This window comes from Homo sapiens, chromosome 15 (genome assembly GCF_000001405.40).
Source record: "Homo sapiens chromosome 15, GRCh38.p14 Primary Assembly".
In the NCBI taxonomy this organism is placed as follows: Eukaryota; Metazoa; Chordata; class Mammalia; order Primates; family Hominidae; genus Homo; species Homo sapiens.
In genome coordinates, this window is record NC_000015.10 from 24,189,835 (window position 1) to 24,207,690 (window position 17,856).

The window sequence follows — 17,856 nt, forward strand, 5'->3', positions numbered from 1 at the left end:
ATTTCTCTATTTTAAATATGCATTCATAATTATTTTTCAGTGAACCGTATCAATTATTTTCATCTTTACTCCTATTTCTCTTTCATAAATTGAACGTTAATATCACTTTTATTAGAAGCGACAGACGTTACACATTCTGTTTTATGATTTTCCAGAGATTTCCTCTTAAATAGCTCTGGTTAAAAAGAAGGACAGAAACTATTCTATAAGCCACAAGGCAAAATTGTCCCACATTAAAAAGATCTTCTTATGTTTAAAAAGATCTGTCAAACTTTCTATTCTATGGCTTAGTTTGCTGTACATGTCAAAGGTTAGGTAGATAAACATTTAAATAATTTAGGATTAAGGCACAGAATAAATTATATTTCATATATTCCTATTTCAGATAGAGGCAAAATTATTAAATAAAGTATAATACAGGCCTGTCCCTGTGTTGCTTGAAAGCAGTGTACTTTGATTATTGCCTTTGCTTGAGTCTAAAGATGAGGCTTTGGTTAAGTTGAGTTTGATGTTAGATGCTGGCAGAAGTCTGTTTCTCCTTTAGAGGAGCTACATGTATCCAGGAGTCAATTCCTTGTACCTTAACACCACAAAAATTAGTTAATAGCACCTGATAAGAACTTCTTCAGGGTGTTGGAGGTGGTGATACACTTCACAGTGATTAATGTTTTTTAGCTTTGATAAGCCCCAGCAATAAGTCAGAGACTTAATTTAGGATTCAATTTGGGAGATGTCTGTGAAAGATGTTAGAAAGCTTAAAATATTTCATCAAAACTAAACCACAGGTCCTTGTAAAACAATAGTTATTCATTTAACCAAAGTGATCATTGAAAGACGTTAAAGGCAATATAAAAAGTTACTCAGGTCTAAAAACCTTACTCCTTTCAAATTTCGGGTTTTTTTTTTAAAAGCAATTAAACACTTAATAAAGGCAGCATAGGAACTATCTTGATAAAATGTAAAATCTTGTTTCTTAAGCCAGTTACCAAAAAGTCAAAGGAAAACCTTTTTTAGTGTGACTGCCTCTCCTTAGAAGAAAGCCCATTTAGATAATCTGGAAGTACAATTTAAGATAAAAAGTGTTTGAATTTAATCAAACATGGAAAGAGTGTGTACAAGGTTATGAGTAGAACTGGGGAATACATGACTCTTAGTAGCTGCATGATAATTTTCCTGATTACAGTGAAAATTTAGACACAAAATAACAACAACAAAAAAACCCCCAAGAGTATAGAATCAGGTTATCCTGGAGGAAAACTTTTCTTTTATAGACCTCTAAGATAAAATATTTCAGCATCAGCCACAACAACATTTAGAAGTAAGGAGACAAGTTACAGGAGCTGACAAGAAGCTGAAGGATAGATTTATCATCCCAGGCCACATCAAAGGGAGAAAAAGCTGATAGCAACAAGACAACAATTGAACATTTGAGATATGAATCTCAGAAGTTTTCAAAAGAAGTAGATTATAGAATAGAAAATCAAAATTTATTGTAATTTTATTAAGAGTAAATTGATACCTTAAGAAAATCTTGATTTAACATAGGGGACCATTCTTTAGAAAGACTATTCTCCTTTTTAATTATGGCTAGCTTAATTGCATACAAAATTTCTTTTATAAATTCCTCTTCATGAGCCTTATCATGACTTACACAGACCATCTGTCACATGCTTGGACTGTATACTTGTCCTGTAGTACCTGTTTCTTTTTTAATTTTTTTTCAATTTTCTTTTTCTAGATTAACTTTGTAATAAGAATCTGTTGCTTAAATAACCAGTCATTTTACTTTAGGAGAATAATTTCCCATACAAGATTCTTTCTCATAGAAAATTACTCTTTTTCCTTTATAACCTTCCTTACCAAAAGTATATGTTCCTTTCTGTATCTTTCTTCACAACTCTGTTCACCACTTACTGCTTCCTTCCCAGCTTGTTTCATAAATAACCTTTTCAAACCCGTAATTTGAATAAACTTTTATATAACTTTGGAATTAGACAAAATAATTCTTTTTCTCAATAAGGACACCTCTTCTTTGGCACATTTGATAGAAACCTAGGAAAAAAGAAATCCTGAACTATCAGATATTAGTATTGTATAGATGAGAACCATTTCACAATTTTTAGAACAGTTTTCTCTATATAATAACCCTTTCTTAATTGGAAATGACCTAGACATCTAGTAAGCATCCAAAATGATTTTAAGATTTTAAATTATACAAAAATTTCACTTAGAAACATTGATCTCATTTATGTGTACTCAGCTTTTCCATTTTACCAGTTTACCTAGAGTACTTTTGAAAACTGGGATATTACATCAAAGTAGTAATTATTTATTTATGTCCCTATGACCCATTTTTAAAGTCTGTGGACATTAGGTGTTTTACCTAAGTAAGAACCTTAAAGTTCAATATATGGGCATTTTGTCAATAGCACAGAAGATTTAACTGTTTTCACTGAACTAGTAATATTAAATTAGTCTAACTCATCTGTAAAATCACACAAACAAAAATGATTCTGTTTTTGGCTGGGTTTATGGTCTTATAACCTTTATGTCATATCCTGACACCTGATGATATAGACAGAGATAAATACAAAATCATTTGTTCAGTAAACTCAGATAAAAATATATGCTGATCATTTTGAAGATATTTCCAATATTACGTCACGAATAATCTTAAAACCAATTTTATTTGTCAAGAATTACTAAATTTATGTGAACTTGAAAAGCATCCTGACTTAATTTATGAGCACTTATTTACTTGTAAGTCAATTTGGTAACAGGCTAGACATAACACATAATACACATACATACACACAAACATATCTAACTAAATATGTATATACACACAAGCAAAGGTCTAATAGCTTTTACCTTGGGATTCTATCCATAAAATAACAGTACACACTCAGTATTTTATAAAAATAGCTGGATACACATTATTGTCTGACAAAACTGAAACCTGTTTCCATGGTTAAATTTTGTTTTCTCCAATATATAATACAATGAAAGCTGTGAACCAAAATTTGGGTAAAGCAATCTTTATGGCAGTTTTGTTTTTAAAAAAGCATCTTTTTCCTTTCTTTCCTTCAGTTTTAAACAAGTTTCCTATGTTTACTTTCTAGTTAGTCCATAAATAATGAGTCTTATCACAGCACCAACAGCTTAGTAACATCCAATTTGAAGCAGGCAGAAAAGAAAACAGAGGAAGAAAGAGAGGTTTTGATGACTCTGCTTAACTTAATAGTTGCAGTTAACCATTTGAGCTCTAAAGTTTTCTTGCTAGAATTTGCCTATCTGTTTAAAATATTCACAAAAGTAGGTCTTAATAAGTAACCAGCTGAAATCCCAAAGAGAATGAGAATATGAAGTTCCTGCCAGGCCTTTTAAAAGGAAGGAAAGAAAAAGAAAGAAAAGGAGGTTTGTGAACCTTCTAGCGCTGCATGGTATAGGGTTGGCACCCCCACCACTCTTGCTTACATCCCATCAGGGAGAGCCCCACTACCCTAGACATGCACAGTGTGAGATGAATCCCTCCCACCTCTGCCATCATGGGGGAAGGAAACTGTTTACAGCTGGAGAGAGCTAAGGGTACCTTTGACTGAGATGATTAAGGCTGTAGGTGGCTTCCAAGACAGTCAAGAAGATGAAGTTGGAAGTGAAAAGGATAGGAAGAGATCAGGGCCCACACTCAAAGGTCTTATACACTCACACTTACAAACAAATGGTGAGCTTCCAAACAAACACCAGTTAAGGGGCTGAGTAGAATCCTGAATTTCTCTCCTCTGTTCAAAACAGCTCCATGGGTGTCTGAGACCAAATGGAGCCATGCCCAGTAGTGCCACAAATACAAATCCGTAAAACACTCAGATGATAGTCCCATTAGTGGACCAGACGAAACAGCAGAGCCCCAGCAACACCCCAGAAGACACAGGAAAGCCGGGTGCACTCTACTAGCTCACTTGGTTGCAAGGGCTGCCAGCTTCTTCAGAGGTCACATTCTTTGTACCAGCAAAGTGTTGATGGCTGCAGAAGTTGTGCAAGGAAGTGAAAGGGAGGGTCTAGGAAATGAAAGATTTTCAGCAGCTGCTTGGAAGTTCCCTAACATTCCTGCCATGGGGTCTGCTGGCCTTCAGCTGCTGGTGCTCACAGGCAACCCTCCACCTTGGTAGCAAAACCAGGCTCACAGGCTTGGGTTGCCCAGAGCACATAATGCTCCCCATACAGGCCACCAAATTTGTTACCAAACACAGGTTTGGCCACTTGTCACTTACCGTATCAAATAACAAGCAAGAGGGTGGTAAAAAGAAAGTGACTTTATTTCACAGCTTAGCAATGGAGAAGAACCAGGTTCATATCTAAAGGAGCCGCTTCAGTTTTCCGGGAAGAAAGCAGGGTTTTAAGAAGAGAAACTTTCTTGTGCAGGGTATGCAGAAGGAACATGGAGGTGCGGGGTCTATGTGACTTGCTGTAAAACTTAGCTAAGGGGTCATCTGTTAGTCTGACCAGTGTCATTGAGGAAAGAGTCGGAATGTGGATTAACTATTGTCTTGAGACAGTCTCCCTGTGAGGGAGAATTCTGGATGTTGCCTGCTTTGGTTCAACATTTGGTCCTTAGAATTTCTAAGGAAACATATACTTAGATAAGCTGGCAATACTTGCAGGTTGTTTCACTGGTGGAAACGAAGGAAGGAAAAGGTTACATTTGCATTTCTGAGGAGCTAAGCAAGAGGTGAACACTGAGAAAAAGAAAAAATGCAAAGGTAATTTTTAGGAAAATAGTATACTGGGTTACAACTTAACTTAATTTCACTGTGTCTAAAGAGCAACCCTATACTTCATGCAAACTGCATAGCCTGGGGCATTCATGTGGTGAAGAACAGAGAAAAAATATTTTTAAGATGCAAAGGAAACTGGAGATTTTTTTAAGGAAAATCAATGAAGGAAGAAACCTTTATTGGCTTCTCCTTTTGGTGACAAATGTATTGTTCTCCTATAAGTAGAAAACTATACTTTAATTATTTCGTAATGTAGTGATTTTACCAGCCACAACTAACAGGATAACATAGGAAAGGCAGGTTGGTGTCCACACAGGGTGACTGAATCTACCTAACACACCATTTACTTTGTTTCTAAACAGTGTGTATTCCTTCATTCTTGGGTTGGATGCAAGATCACTGAGTCATGGAAAACTTTGTCTTTTTGTAGTCAGAAATTAGGCGAAAGCATAAAGGTGAATTACTCTTTATTAAAGAAATCATTTAAATTACTTTTCTTTGTATCTTTGCTTTTTGTTTCTGTACTGCTCCAGTACTCCTGTGAACCATGTCTCAGTGGAGTAATGATGGCACCACAGTCCAGCCTGCATGGCTGTTGGCATGCATGCTCCCTCCTCCTGCAGCCATGGAGAATGGCTTTATGAAATTCAGCCACCTCTTTGTCCAGACTGTCAGTTCCATCTTCTCAACTCCAAGTATCTTCCAGAGTCCGTGCCACACCACAGCCTGGAAACTCTCCCCAAGCAGTAACCTGAGGCAACAGTAGCCCTCATTGTTTCACGTCTCTCAGATGTCACTGTCCTTCATTGTTTGATGTGCACTCTCTTGCAATCCATCCTTCCAGATAAATCATCCATTTTTACCTGTGATAAGCCATGTCCAATTGCCATAAGTTTTTCCACAACATTTTGTTTCATTCTTCCTGCAATTACTCGATCATTACTATACCACCGCCTATATGGATGTACCTGTCAATGTGAAGCTGGGTAAGGAACAATGTGCGCCAAACTCACAGAGAAAGACAAGCGAGCTGGCCTTTATATCACTAAAGGGAAGCTCAGATTGGTAAATATGTAATGTCTGTAGTAGTCTTGTTGGGGACATCCACAGTATGTCAATGAATCAAAGACTTAAGAAGAATCTCAAAGAAAGAATAATATCTCTCTCTCAACCCTTATACACATAATAGACTTATTTACCCTTATTGAAAAAGTCCTTCTAGAATTTTAAATTTACACTTTATTCATATAAAAATGAAAGCAATATTGAAATTAATTCATAAATTCACACGTATCTTGGTATTCTGATTATGATTGTTCTGAATTAGGTGTTGACACTTTTTCAAAGTGATGATTGATATAGTTGGATGAATATCCACCATGCTTGTTACTATCTTTTAGTTTTTGCGCTGCCTCTGTTTCCATTTTTGTCTTCCATTCATTTTCCTTTTTTTGTGGTTTTTATTCAGCATTTAAAAAATTCAATCTTCTTTCTTAGCATCTCAGACTTTTTAATACTTTTTTATTGGTTTCTCAAGATAATAAAAACTTTTAATTTCCATATTCTTAATTGATCTTACATATAACAGCTTATTTAAAATAATTATATTCAATAGCAGACAGGTGCCTTTCAAAAAAATAGTAGGAATGCCGAACCCGGTGGCTCAGGCCTGTAATCACAGCAGTTTGGGAGGCCAAGGTGGGTGGATGACCTGAGTTCGGGAGTTTGAGACCAGTCTCGCCAGCATGGTGAAACCCCATCTCTACTAAAAAAAAAAAATACAAAGATTAGCTGGGTTTGTGACGCATGTCTGTAATCCTAGCTACTCAGGAGGCTGAGGCAGGAGAATAGCTTGAATGCGGGAGGCAGAGGTTACAGTGAGCTCAGAACGCGCCACTGCACTCCAGCCTGGGTGACAGAGCAAGACTCTGTTTCAAAAAAAAAAAAAGCAGCAATTAATTTAACTATATTTTCATAAGTATAAGATCTATATAGATATGGGTATAGATATACATATAAGTAAAATGAAAGGTACGAAAAGAGGGACAAAAGGAAAAATACAGGAAAAAGGAAGAAATAGAACTATTATTTTATAAGATGGTTACACTACTTCTGAGGCAGTATACTTTTATATGAAAGGAGCTTAGATTAGTTGTAAATATAAATTGCCACCTCTAGGGCAGGATACTGGACCAGGAGCCTCAGTTTTTTGCTGTCTGTGGCCAGAGGCTGCATTCAGTTATTTCCCATGTTGGCTTCTCTCCCATGGCAGAATGTGTCATCAAAACCACCATGACAGAGAGCTTGCAGCAAGACAGGTATCATAATCTTAGGTAACATGATTACCCAAGTGACATCCTATCAGGTTGTAGTCTTCTGATGTATCAAAGCAAGTCTCAGTTTCTCCCCAACGTCACAAGAAAAAAGATTAGATATTCTAATTAAGCTCTGAGGATCATCGTGCACCATCTTAGAGATCACCTGCCAATGTCAGGTCTTGCTTAATCTGGGACAGGTTCTCAGTCCTCACTTTGTGAGAAAACAGGTCACATAGTTTGTAAAATGTATCAAAATCTGGATTTCTCTGAATGTTTCTCATAATTTTACTGAGCAATATAGATAGAGACATGTAATTATCTATTTGTGAAGACAAGAAACAGCAAACAGGACATTATTTACAAATACAAATTTAGAGACCAAAACTAAGAAAGAAAAGTTTGCGAATGGGAAAAGGAAAATTAAAAATAATAATAATGTTCGCCAGGGTAACAAAAAGGGTGGGAATGGGGAGGTGAGCACCTGGGACGCTACGAGATCGACAATGTTCTGCTTAGTAAGCTCAATAGTGTAATTTTTTTTAAATATATATTTTATTTATTTTTTAAATCTATGTTAGAATAGTTTGGATTTACAGAATAGTTAGAAGTACATACAGAGAGTTTATATATATTCAACACATAATTTCCCTTTCATAAATTCTTACATTCATTTGAGACATTTGTCGCAATTGATGAACCAGTATTATACATTATCATTCAGCAACATTCACAATTAATCAGATGTTCTGTTTTCACCTAATGTCCATATTCTGTTCCAGGATTCCGCCCAGGACACCACATCACGTTTAGGTATCGTGTGCCAGTTTCTCAGATTTTCCTTATTTCTGATATCATTGAAATCCTTTGGGATGTCTCTGGTGTTTTCCTAATGATTGGATGGCTGTTGTGAATTTAGCAGAGGAAACCTACAGAGGGAAACTTTTATTCTCATGATGTTATAACAAGAGTACATAGTGTCAACATGCTGTATCACTTTTTTTTTTTTTTTTTTTTTTTTGAGACAGGGTCTCACTCTGTTGCTCAGGCCGGAGTGCAGTGGCATGAACAAAGCTCGCTGCAGCCTCGAACTCCTGGGCTTGAATGATCCTCCACCTCATCCTCTTGAGTAGATGGGACTACAGGCATGTGCCACCACATCTGGGTGATTTAATTTTACTTGTACTTTTGTAGAGGCAGAGTCTCACGACATTGCTCAGGCTGGTCTGTAAGTCCTGGCCCCAAGCGATCCTCTCACCTCAGGCTCCCAAAGTGCTGGGATTACAGGTGTGAGCCACTGTGCCCAGCTGCTTTATCATGGTTAATGTTATTTGATCACATGGATGAGGCAGTTTAGCTCAGTTTTCTCCACTATAAAATTAATATTATTCCCCTTTTCATGTTATACCTTTTGGAAAAAACATCACTATGCACAGCACATACATAAAAAGTGGGGAATTATGCCTCTTTCCCCTATGGATGGACCTTCTATAAATGTCATTTGTGTTTCTGTAAAAAATATTTAACATTCCTTGGGCTGTTCTGGATCAATTGTGTTTTTCTGTGCATTTTAGGATCAGTGGTCCAAGAACTGCTAAAAATGAGAAAAAATTAAAGTTAGAACTTTAGTAGGGCTTGTATTGAATCTGAAGATGCATTTAGAAAGTATAAGCATCTTGGTTAATACTTAATAACTTTCTAATCAATGAAAATGTAGTTCATATAGTATATTACACTAATTCTTTTATTCATTTATTTAGGATTTCTTTAATACTTCAATATTATTTGTAATTTTCAGTATATATATCTTGCAGTTATATTGTTTATTTTCAAATATATTTCCTTTTTGATGCCATGTTAAATGAAATTATTTTCTGAGTTTCATTATTTGATTAGTTTCTATTGTATAAGAATGCAATTTATTACATTGATCATGCATACTGAATTTTTTTTTGTTCCAACCTTATTTTAGTGAATTTTTTAGGATTTTCTATACATTAGATTATGTCACTGGCCAATAGATGTTTGACTTCTTCCCTTTCAATTTGGAAGTCTTATATTTATTTTTCCAGCCTAATTTTATAAATTACATCCTCAAGCATAATGTTTAGTTGAATTAGTGGAATAGATAACCTTTTGTGTTTATAATTTTGGGAAAATTACTGAGACCTACTTGATACCATGTGTTGTCATATGAATTTTTCATAGGTGCCTGTGTTAGTAAGAACATTCCCTTTATGCAAAATTTGTTTGGTGTTTTTACTGCGAGTGGGTTTTTGAATTGGAAAGTGTTTATTCCATATCTTTAGATGTGATAAAGAAAATTTTGTCATTTATTATATTAATATAGTGATTACACTAATTCTTTTTATATGTTTTACCAAACTTGTGATCCTGGATAAATAAATAAATAAATAAGTTAGTGTTTAATTATGTTTTACGATCCTGATCTTTGTTCAGACTGTTTGCTCGAGAATTATTGCTTGGGTATCCATAAAGCATATTAGTTTATAGTTTTACTTTTTTGGACTGTCTCTGTTTGGTTGTGGCCTCAGAGGAAACTGCCTCATAGAATGTATTGCACACTGATCTCTTCTCTATTATTTTATTTTTTGGAGAACAGTTAGTAAGAAATTGCTGTTGATATTTTAAAGGTTTCGAATAATTCATCAGTGAAGTCTTCTCAACCAGGTCAATCACGAGAACTTAGAAGATGATTCCTCCCCAGCTGATCCTCAGGTGAGACCTCAGCCTTGGCCATCATCTACATCTGGATTCCTGACTCAGAGAAACTGTGAGTAATTTGTATGTGCTTTTGAGCCACTAAGCTATGTAGTTATTCGCTATGCTGCAATAAACAATAATACACTTTATGTAAACATAATATGTTATCCTTGATTAGATCCAAAAAAAGGAAAAATGGCATTAGTGGAAAACCTTGTAAAATATAAAGACAGTCAGTACTTTGGTTAATAGTTTAGTGCCTTTATCAGTTTCTGAGTTTTCATAGATAGTCTGTGGTTCTGTGTGTGATATTAATATAACAGGAAATTGAAGGGTATATACAACTTTATGTAAGATTTTAACAACTCTCTGTTAATCTAAAATTATTTCAAAATAAATAGAAGTGTAGACATGGCTCATATATTTGAGATCAGGTCTCCCTGTTAACTTAATTGAGCCTACATGGAACCTAAATCTCATGGTACAAATGCAATAATATTATAAAATATAAATCAGATGAGTTTCTATTTTACTCTCTTCTTCAGGGAACACTAAAGCCCATTCTTCCTCTCAAGTAACCAGAAATAAAGTTGATCCAAGTAACAAGTGGACAGCATAAAAGATTGTATGGAAACTATAATGCATCTACATCTGCAGTAACTAATCATAAAATGATTTGTATGATCATTCTTCACATGATTATGATGACTATGGGAAAGAAGAAAAAGAAATGCAACTTTCTTGATTTAAAAATTGTATCTAAGGGGCATGAAGCACCTTTCTGGGGCAATGGTAAGATTTTTTGAATCTTGACAGCAGTGATGTTTATATTCCTGTATTCATTGTCCAAATGAATAAAATAGTTCATGTAAAAGGGTGAATTTTGCTGTACAAAACAATGTAATAAATTTGACTTTAAAAGCCAAAAAAAAAACATAAAATAAAAATTGTATCTGTGCAAGTGTGGTGGCACACACCTATAGTCAGTCCCAGCTGCTAGGGAGGGTGGGTAGGATGAACATGTGGTACCAGGAATTTGAGGCTGTGTAGTGTGCTGTGCTTGTGCCAGTGAATAACCAGTGCACTCCAGCCTGGGCAATGTAGTGAAACGCCATTGAATGAATGAATAAATAAATAAATAAATAAATAAATAAATAAATAAATAAATAAATAAGTTATAGAGATCATTCTTTGTATCTCTATCATTAGGGCTGAAATCCTCTAGATAAAGTTTTTTTTTTTTTTTTGAGACAGCGTCTCACTTTGTAACCCAGGCTGGAGTGCAGTGGCGTGATCTCAGCTCACTGCAAGCTCTGCCTCCCAGGTTCACGCCATTCTCCTGCCTCAGCCTCCCCAGCAGCTGGGACTACAGGCGCCCGCCACCATGCCCAGCTAATTTTTTTGTGGTTTTAGTAGAGACGGGGTTTCACCGTGTTAGCCAGGATGGTCTCAATCTCCTGAGCTTGTGATCCACCCGCCTCGGCCTCCCAAAGTGCTGGGATTACAGGTGTGAGCCACCGCTCCTGGCCTGAGATTTTTCTTTATCGTTGGAGAGCTGCCACCCCAGTGCAAACTTTCAAATAATGCCTTGCCAGTTTTACTTTCCCTCTCAAGGATTCCTGAAACTATAGTTTCTAAAATTATCTCACAGCATGTGTTTTATTTTTACTTCTGTTTGCTGTTAAGGCCCCTCTGGATGGTGGCTATAACCTATAGCCTTGCCCAATATGACTCAGGGTTTGGTACTGGCTGTGCCTTTCATGGGATGCTTACTTATCCTGGTCGATGGCCTAAAGCCCAACTGTCCAGCTTACATCCAGGTATCCTTCTCACAGAGTACTTGTTTATACTGTAAGACACCCTGTGGCTCCTGTCTGACCTGTGTCTAGTTTATTTCTACCAAGGTAACCACTCTCTAGGAGAGTGCTAAGTGGGAGAAAAGTGATGTCCATGTGTGTTTGTAAAGTGAAATACAGAGGAGGCAACTCAACAAAATGTGTATAATGGCATGAGTCATGTATTACTAACCAATCCCAGTAAGAAGAGGGCAGCATTCCTTGAAGTGCAGATGGAAAGAGAAGAGCTCTCCAGGACATACACTCATAAGCAGCAGGGGTGGTGGAGGAGCAACTAGAGAAAGACATAGTATTGCACCATTTGGCTGAAGTCTTTATGGGTGTATTTGTCATTTTTTTTTCAGAGAGACAGAACTACAGGGAGGTAGATAGGTAGGTAGGTAGATAGATAGATACATAGATGGAGAGTTGATAGATAGATAGACAATAGTTAGATGAAAGGCATTTTGTTTGGGGATTTACTCATGTAACATTGTAGAGACAGAGCATTCCCAAGACAGCCATCTGTGAGTTTAAGGACCTTGGATGCTGTAGCGTGGTGGCTCAGTCCAAAGCTGAAATCTTCAGAACCAGGGAAGCCCTTGGTGTAATTCTCAGTTTGGGACCAATGGCCTGAGAATCCAGGGCATTTACTGGTATAAGTTCTGGAGTTTCAAGGCCATAGATCATGGAGTTCTGTTTTCCAAGGGCAGGAAAAGGAGTATAACTTCTTCAGGAGAGAGGGCAGAAAAAGGAGTATAACTTCTTCAGGAGAGAGACAGGAAGACTTGAAAAAAATTTTTAATTTTTGGTTCTATTTGGTCCCCAAGGAGATTGTATGCTGCCTTCCCCCATTGAGGGTGGATTTTTCCCACTAAATTACCTGACTCATACACCAATCTCCTCTGGAAACACCCTGGCAGACACACCCAGAAGTAATGCTTCACCAATTCTGTAGGTATTCTTTAATCCAGTCAGCATCTTAAATTAACCATGACAAGTCCAGCACCTTTCTAGTTGGCACCTATATGTATCACCTTAAGCCCTAACTAATCTTCAGATACAGACAATAACAAGGCAATAGTTCTACCTAACATGATGCAACGATCCTGTGTGCAACGAGAACACACTATACTATTTTTCCTAAGAGTAGTAGAAGTTTGTGGGTGATGGTTACTCTTCTCCTGATACCCCATAACTTCAACAGAAATATGTTAAACTACTAACACTTAACTGCTAATATCAAGTTAATACATTCTTGTGTTATGTGACAAAAGAAGAAGAGAGAAATAAAAACAATGTTATTTGTCTAATATATTTATATATAACATGAAAATGTATTCTTAAAGTTGATAGGAAATACTAGTGACAATTTTAATCCTTGTTTCTGTAACTGGTCACCTGGTCCTGTCTGCTATTTGTAACTCCCTTCTACTGCTACCCATTCAGTATTCTCTTTGTCTTCAGCAAGCCCCTCTGCTGGTCCTGGGTCTTTACCTGGCAGGGTGATGCAAACCTTCATTCCTGAAAGGTCTGGATCATTTGTATTCTTGTCTGGAATGGTTGTAATAATCCATTGAACTTAATAACAGGTCATAGTAATACTAAGACTTTGTTTTAGTCCATTTTCTGTTACTTATAACAGAATACCTGAAACTGAGTAGTTGATAAAGAAAACACATGCATTTCATACAGTTATGGAGGCTGAAAAGGCTGAGGTTGAGAGGTTGTATGTGGCGAGATCCTGTTGCTGGTTGGGACTCTCTGAAGAGTTCTGAAGCCTACAGGGTATCATATGGCAATGGAGTAGAGCTTGCTGACATGCAACATCATGTCTCCCTTCTTATAAGCCACTCTTCTCTCATAGTAGACTATTAATCTTTAAATATTAATTTATTAATCCATGAAAGGATTAATTCATTTATGGGTCAAACTCTTCATGATCCAGTCACCTTTTAAAGGTCTCACAATTCAGTACTACCACGTTAGGGATGAAATTTCAGCATAAATTTTGGAGGGAAGCAATATTCCAACCACAGGGCTCCACTTCTGACTCTAAAAATCTCGTCCTGTCACTTACAAAAAGTTTATTTCATTCCTATCGTTCAAAGGCTTAGATTGTTCCAGCACCAACAGAAAGTTCCCACAGCTAAAGTCTCCTCTGTCAGCCCATGAAATCAAAACAAGTTATCTTCATACAAAATTCAGCAGTTGGGTTGTTAATGGCCAATGGGTTCATGTTGGCTGCTGCCCAGATAGAGCCACTTCACCAAGATAGGGGAATTGCTGTAGAGAAAATTTTATACATGTAGAGCTGGCTAAAGGAGAGAGCAGAGTTTTCCTATTACTCAAAACTGCTTCTCCAAATATTCAGAGGCTAGAGTTTTTATAGATAGTTTTGTGGGCAGGGGTTAGAGAAAGGGACATGCTGATTGGTTGGGTCAGGGATGAAATCTTAGGAAGTCAAAGCCATCTTCTTTTCTGACTCAGCTCCTGGGTGTGGGCCACGTATCCAGATGAGCCAGTTTACTGGTTTGGGTGGCACCCGCTGATCTGTCAGGATGCAAGTTATGAAAAATACCTCAAACACCAATCTTAGGTTTTACAATAGTAATGTTATTTATAGGAGCCATTGGGGAGGTTATTAATATTGTGGCCTCTGATTGTATGACTCCTGAGCCATACTTTCTAATATTGTGGTTAATTTGTTAGTTTTACAAAGTTGATGTGGTCCCCAAACAATGAGGGGTTTTGTTTCAGGGGGGAGCTGTTATTATCTTTGTTTCAAAGTTAAGCTACAAAGTAAATTTCTCCCGAAGTTAGTTTGTTTTTGCCCAGGAATCAGCAAGGGCCTCTTGGAGGTTAAATGCAAGATGAAGTCACTTAGGTCATATCTCTCTCCCTATCATAATTTTCTTACTGTTACTGTTTTTGCAAACGTGATTCCAATTTCCCCTTGCAAGTTTCATTGCATCTTATTCTTAATGGGTGAGGTACAGAGTTGGGAAAAGGCCAAAGACCATTCTAACTTCTTCCTGCTGACAAGGGGTATACTTGGGATAGGGTTTGGCCCCAGAGTAAATGGAATGAAACTGCTTTGCAGCTGCCTGCATGTATTCACAGGTGCCTGGTTGGGGTTCCTAGGCTTGCATGACCAAGACGTTAGTACTCTCATCCACAGTTTTAGTACAGCACTTAAGTGAACAGCTGACTATAGGATAATGAATCCTAATATAAGGAGTGGAAGTCCTAGCTTCAGAAGTCCTTATATAATTTGTCTAAATCCCTGAGCGATTCGGGTGCATAGCGCCAAGAACCAGTCAGACATGGGGTCAATGGTCAAGAGAGATATGGGTGAGAGATTGTTAGAAAGACAAATTTGGATAAACAGGAAAGAGCAAATTTAAATATACCATCTCATATCTTTTTAGTTAGTTTCCTAGTCCTCAGAATAGATCCTAGCTGTGTTTCATTCCAGGAGGTGTCACTGCAAATGAACTAGGCCCCCTTATGTGATTAAGGCAAAAAATATTTTTAATAACAGGCATTTGTATGGAAATAGAAAATAATAACAAAGGTTGATCTTGGGCACAATGCATCCAGATGTTAGATTCAAAGCATTTTTAAGTTGCAAAGGAGGATAGTGATGACAATCTCACATATTTCGCATCTGTATCTCAAGGGATAAGCTTCAGCCTGCAGGGCCTCAGGAAGAAGTTCGTAGCCATTTCATTGAGTCCAGGTCAGAAAAGTGGAAGAAAAATGTGAATGTGTTAGTTTGAGGACTTTAGCTCTGAGAGGTTTCAGGATTCAGTCCAAAGTGCAGAAAACAATAAAAAGCTCAAAAACAATAGACAAGACTAGAATGTAACAATAAGTGTGCTATAGTATTTTTCTGACATACAATCTTTTGCTCTCTAGTTCTCATTTTTTTAAGACATATGATAGTAGGACACATGTATTTGCAAAATACATTTTGTTATTATTATACTTAGCCTGACTATTTGTGTAAAGTTCAGCAAGAGTAATTATTTGCCGTATTAGCCCTTTCTAAATTGGGTTTGCTGGAACTTTGTTCCCTAAGGAATCTTGGATTGGACTTTTTTAAAGCCTTCAAGGGATGTATCTGTGCCTGCAAATACTTGTACAGATTGCTTGAATTTCTCTCTTCTTCAGCTCCCAAGATAATTTAGGAATCATAGGCCTGTCAGAATGTGACATTTTTTACTAACCACAGGTCAAGAACCCTGTACAAGGCCTGTGTAGACAGTTAGGAGGTCAGTTTCTTAAGGGGCTTTTATCAACTCTGTTAGTCAACTTTAATTCCTCCAGCTTGTCTGTTTGTATCTGAAAGTAGGTCATTCGACTGGTAACATAACCACAGCTTTGGTAAAATAATCAGTGTCTCTAATTGTGTTCTGTTACAAAAGAAATCAGATTCTTATTGTACTTATGTAAATAACTATATCGCCATAGCATGGAATACTCATAAATAGTTTTCAAATTCTGGAGAAATCAAGTAGAGAAAATGAAATATCCTTCATCTTTTGTTCACAGGAATATACTTTACTCAACCATGAAAAGCTGTAAATAGCTGAAAAGAAAAATGTGGTCTTGAGGTCGGGCACGGTGGCTCACGCCTGTAATCCCAGCACTTTGGGAGGCCGAGGCAGGTGGATCACGAGGTCAGGAGATCGAGACCATCCTGGCTAACACGGTGAAACCCCGTCTCTACTAAAAATACAAAAAATTAGCCAGGAGAGGTGGCAGGCGCCTGTAGTCCCAGCTACTCGGGAGGCTGAGCCAAGAGAATGGCATGAACCCCAGGGGGTGGAGCCTGCAGTGAGCCCAGATCGCGCCACTGCACTCCAGCCTGGGTGACATCGAGACTCAATCTCAAAAACAAAAATAAAAAAGAAAAAAGAAAAATGTGGTCTTGACTCTGAAAAACAACAAAAAGGATCAGCAGCATTTCAAGCAACAAGTCATAAAATGATTATTGTGGTCTTCTATTAGTTCAGTCCATGCAGTGAACTTTGTCTGACATTGGACCTGCAGTCCCCATAAACATACCAGCTATCTCTGACAGTCCTGGAGGTTTGTTTGTTTGGTTTTGTTTTTTTCCTATTTCAATGCCACAATCTTTGGTTATCAGAAACCTGTATTCAAGAGAACATTTCAAAGAGCAAACACCTTTTGAATAGTTTAAAAAAAAAGAGCACAATAATCTGTGGATGACAATAATCTCAGGACAGTCATTGTTTTATTAATTTTACTTTGATTTTGTTGAGACAGGGTCTGAAGCCATGCAGGCTGGAGTGCAGTGGCACAATTATGGCTCACTGTAGCCTCACCTTCCTGGGATCAAGCAATCCTCTTTCTTCAGCCTCCAGAGGAGCTGGGACCACAGGCAAGTGCTACCACATCCAACTAATTTTTTGATTTTTTTGTAGAGAAAAGGTCTCACTATCTTCCTCAGGCTGATCTCAAACACCTGAGCTCAAGCAATCCTCCCAACTTAGCCACCTAAAGTTCTAGGATTACAGACATGAGCCACCGTGCCCAGTGAGGACATTACAGGCATGAGTCGCTGTGTCCAATGAGGCCATTGTTAAAGACACAATCGACAAAGAAATCTGTTCATTTCTGTGGCACATAACAATTCAGCATAATAATAATAATTATGACTGATAACATATACTAAGACATATTAGAATTATAGGAACCATATAATTTTGGAATACATACTAATAACATATTTATATAAATATAACCCAAAGAAAGTTAAACATGATTTTATATTTGACAGTGTTTTCTGTAGGTTAATATACCAAATAAGCCAAATATATCTCTTTTGGACTTCAGGGGACGTAATATTTAAAAGGCTAATGAGTTAAAATAAAAATTCTTAGTTTATAATTTTATTTTTCAAAGTGTGCAAATATTAAAGTTTTAAAACACTTCATATCACAAAATAGAATCCCAGATAACCACAAATCATTTGTTTAGCCAAAATGATAGCTCAAAAATTTAAAAAGGCAAAAGCCTTTATTCATTGGTAGAGAGGAGACTCAGCTCCCAAACAACAGGACCAAGTAACGACTGCATGAGGCCATCTGAATCTGTGTCTTCTCTCTCCCCTACTTTTTTCAGTTTATTTAAAAGACAAATAAAAAACATTTTATTATCTGTCAGTATTATACAAAA

At 37.0% G+C, this 17,856-nt stretch overlaps 2 long non-coding RNA genes across 1 annotated transcript in view; one reads left to right on the top strand and one right to left on the bottom strand.

The window, feature by feature from the left end:
• The window catches only part of LOC105370732 (uncharacterized), a 50,985-nt gene extending 47,149 nt beyond the window's left edge, over positions 1–3,836 (bottom strand). The window contains exon 1 of the long non-coding RNA XR_931993.3: positions 3,716–3,836. This is a non-coding gene — a long non-coding RNA (uncharacterized LOC105370732). The remainder of the gene's footprint in view (positions 1–3,715) is intronic.
• The window catches only part of LOC105370733 (uncharacterized), a 440,742-nt gene that overhangs the window by 88,155 nt on the left and 334,731 nt on the right, over positions 1–17,856 (top strand).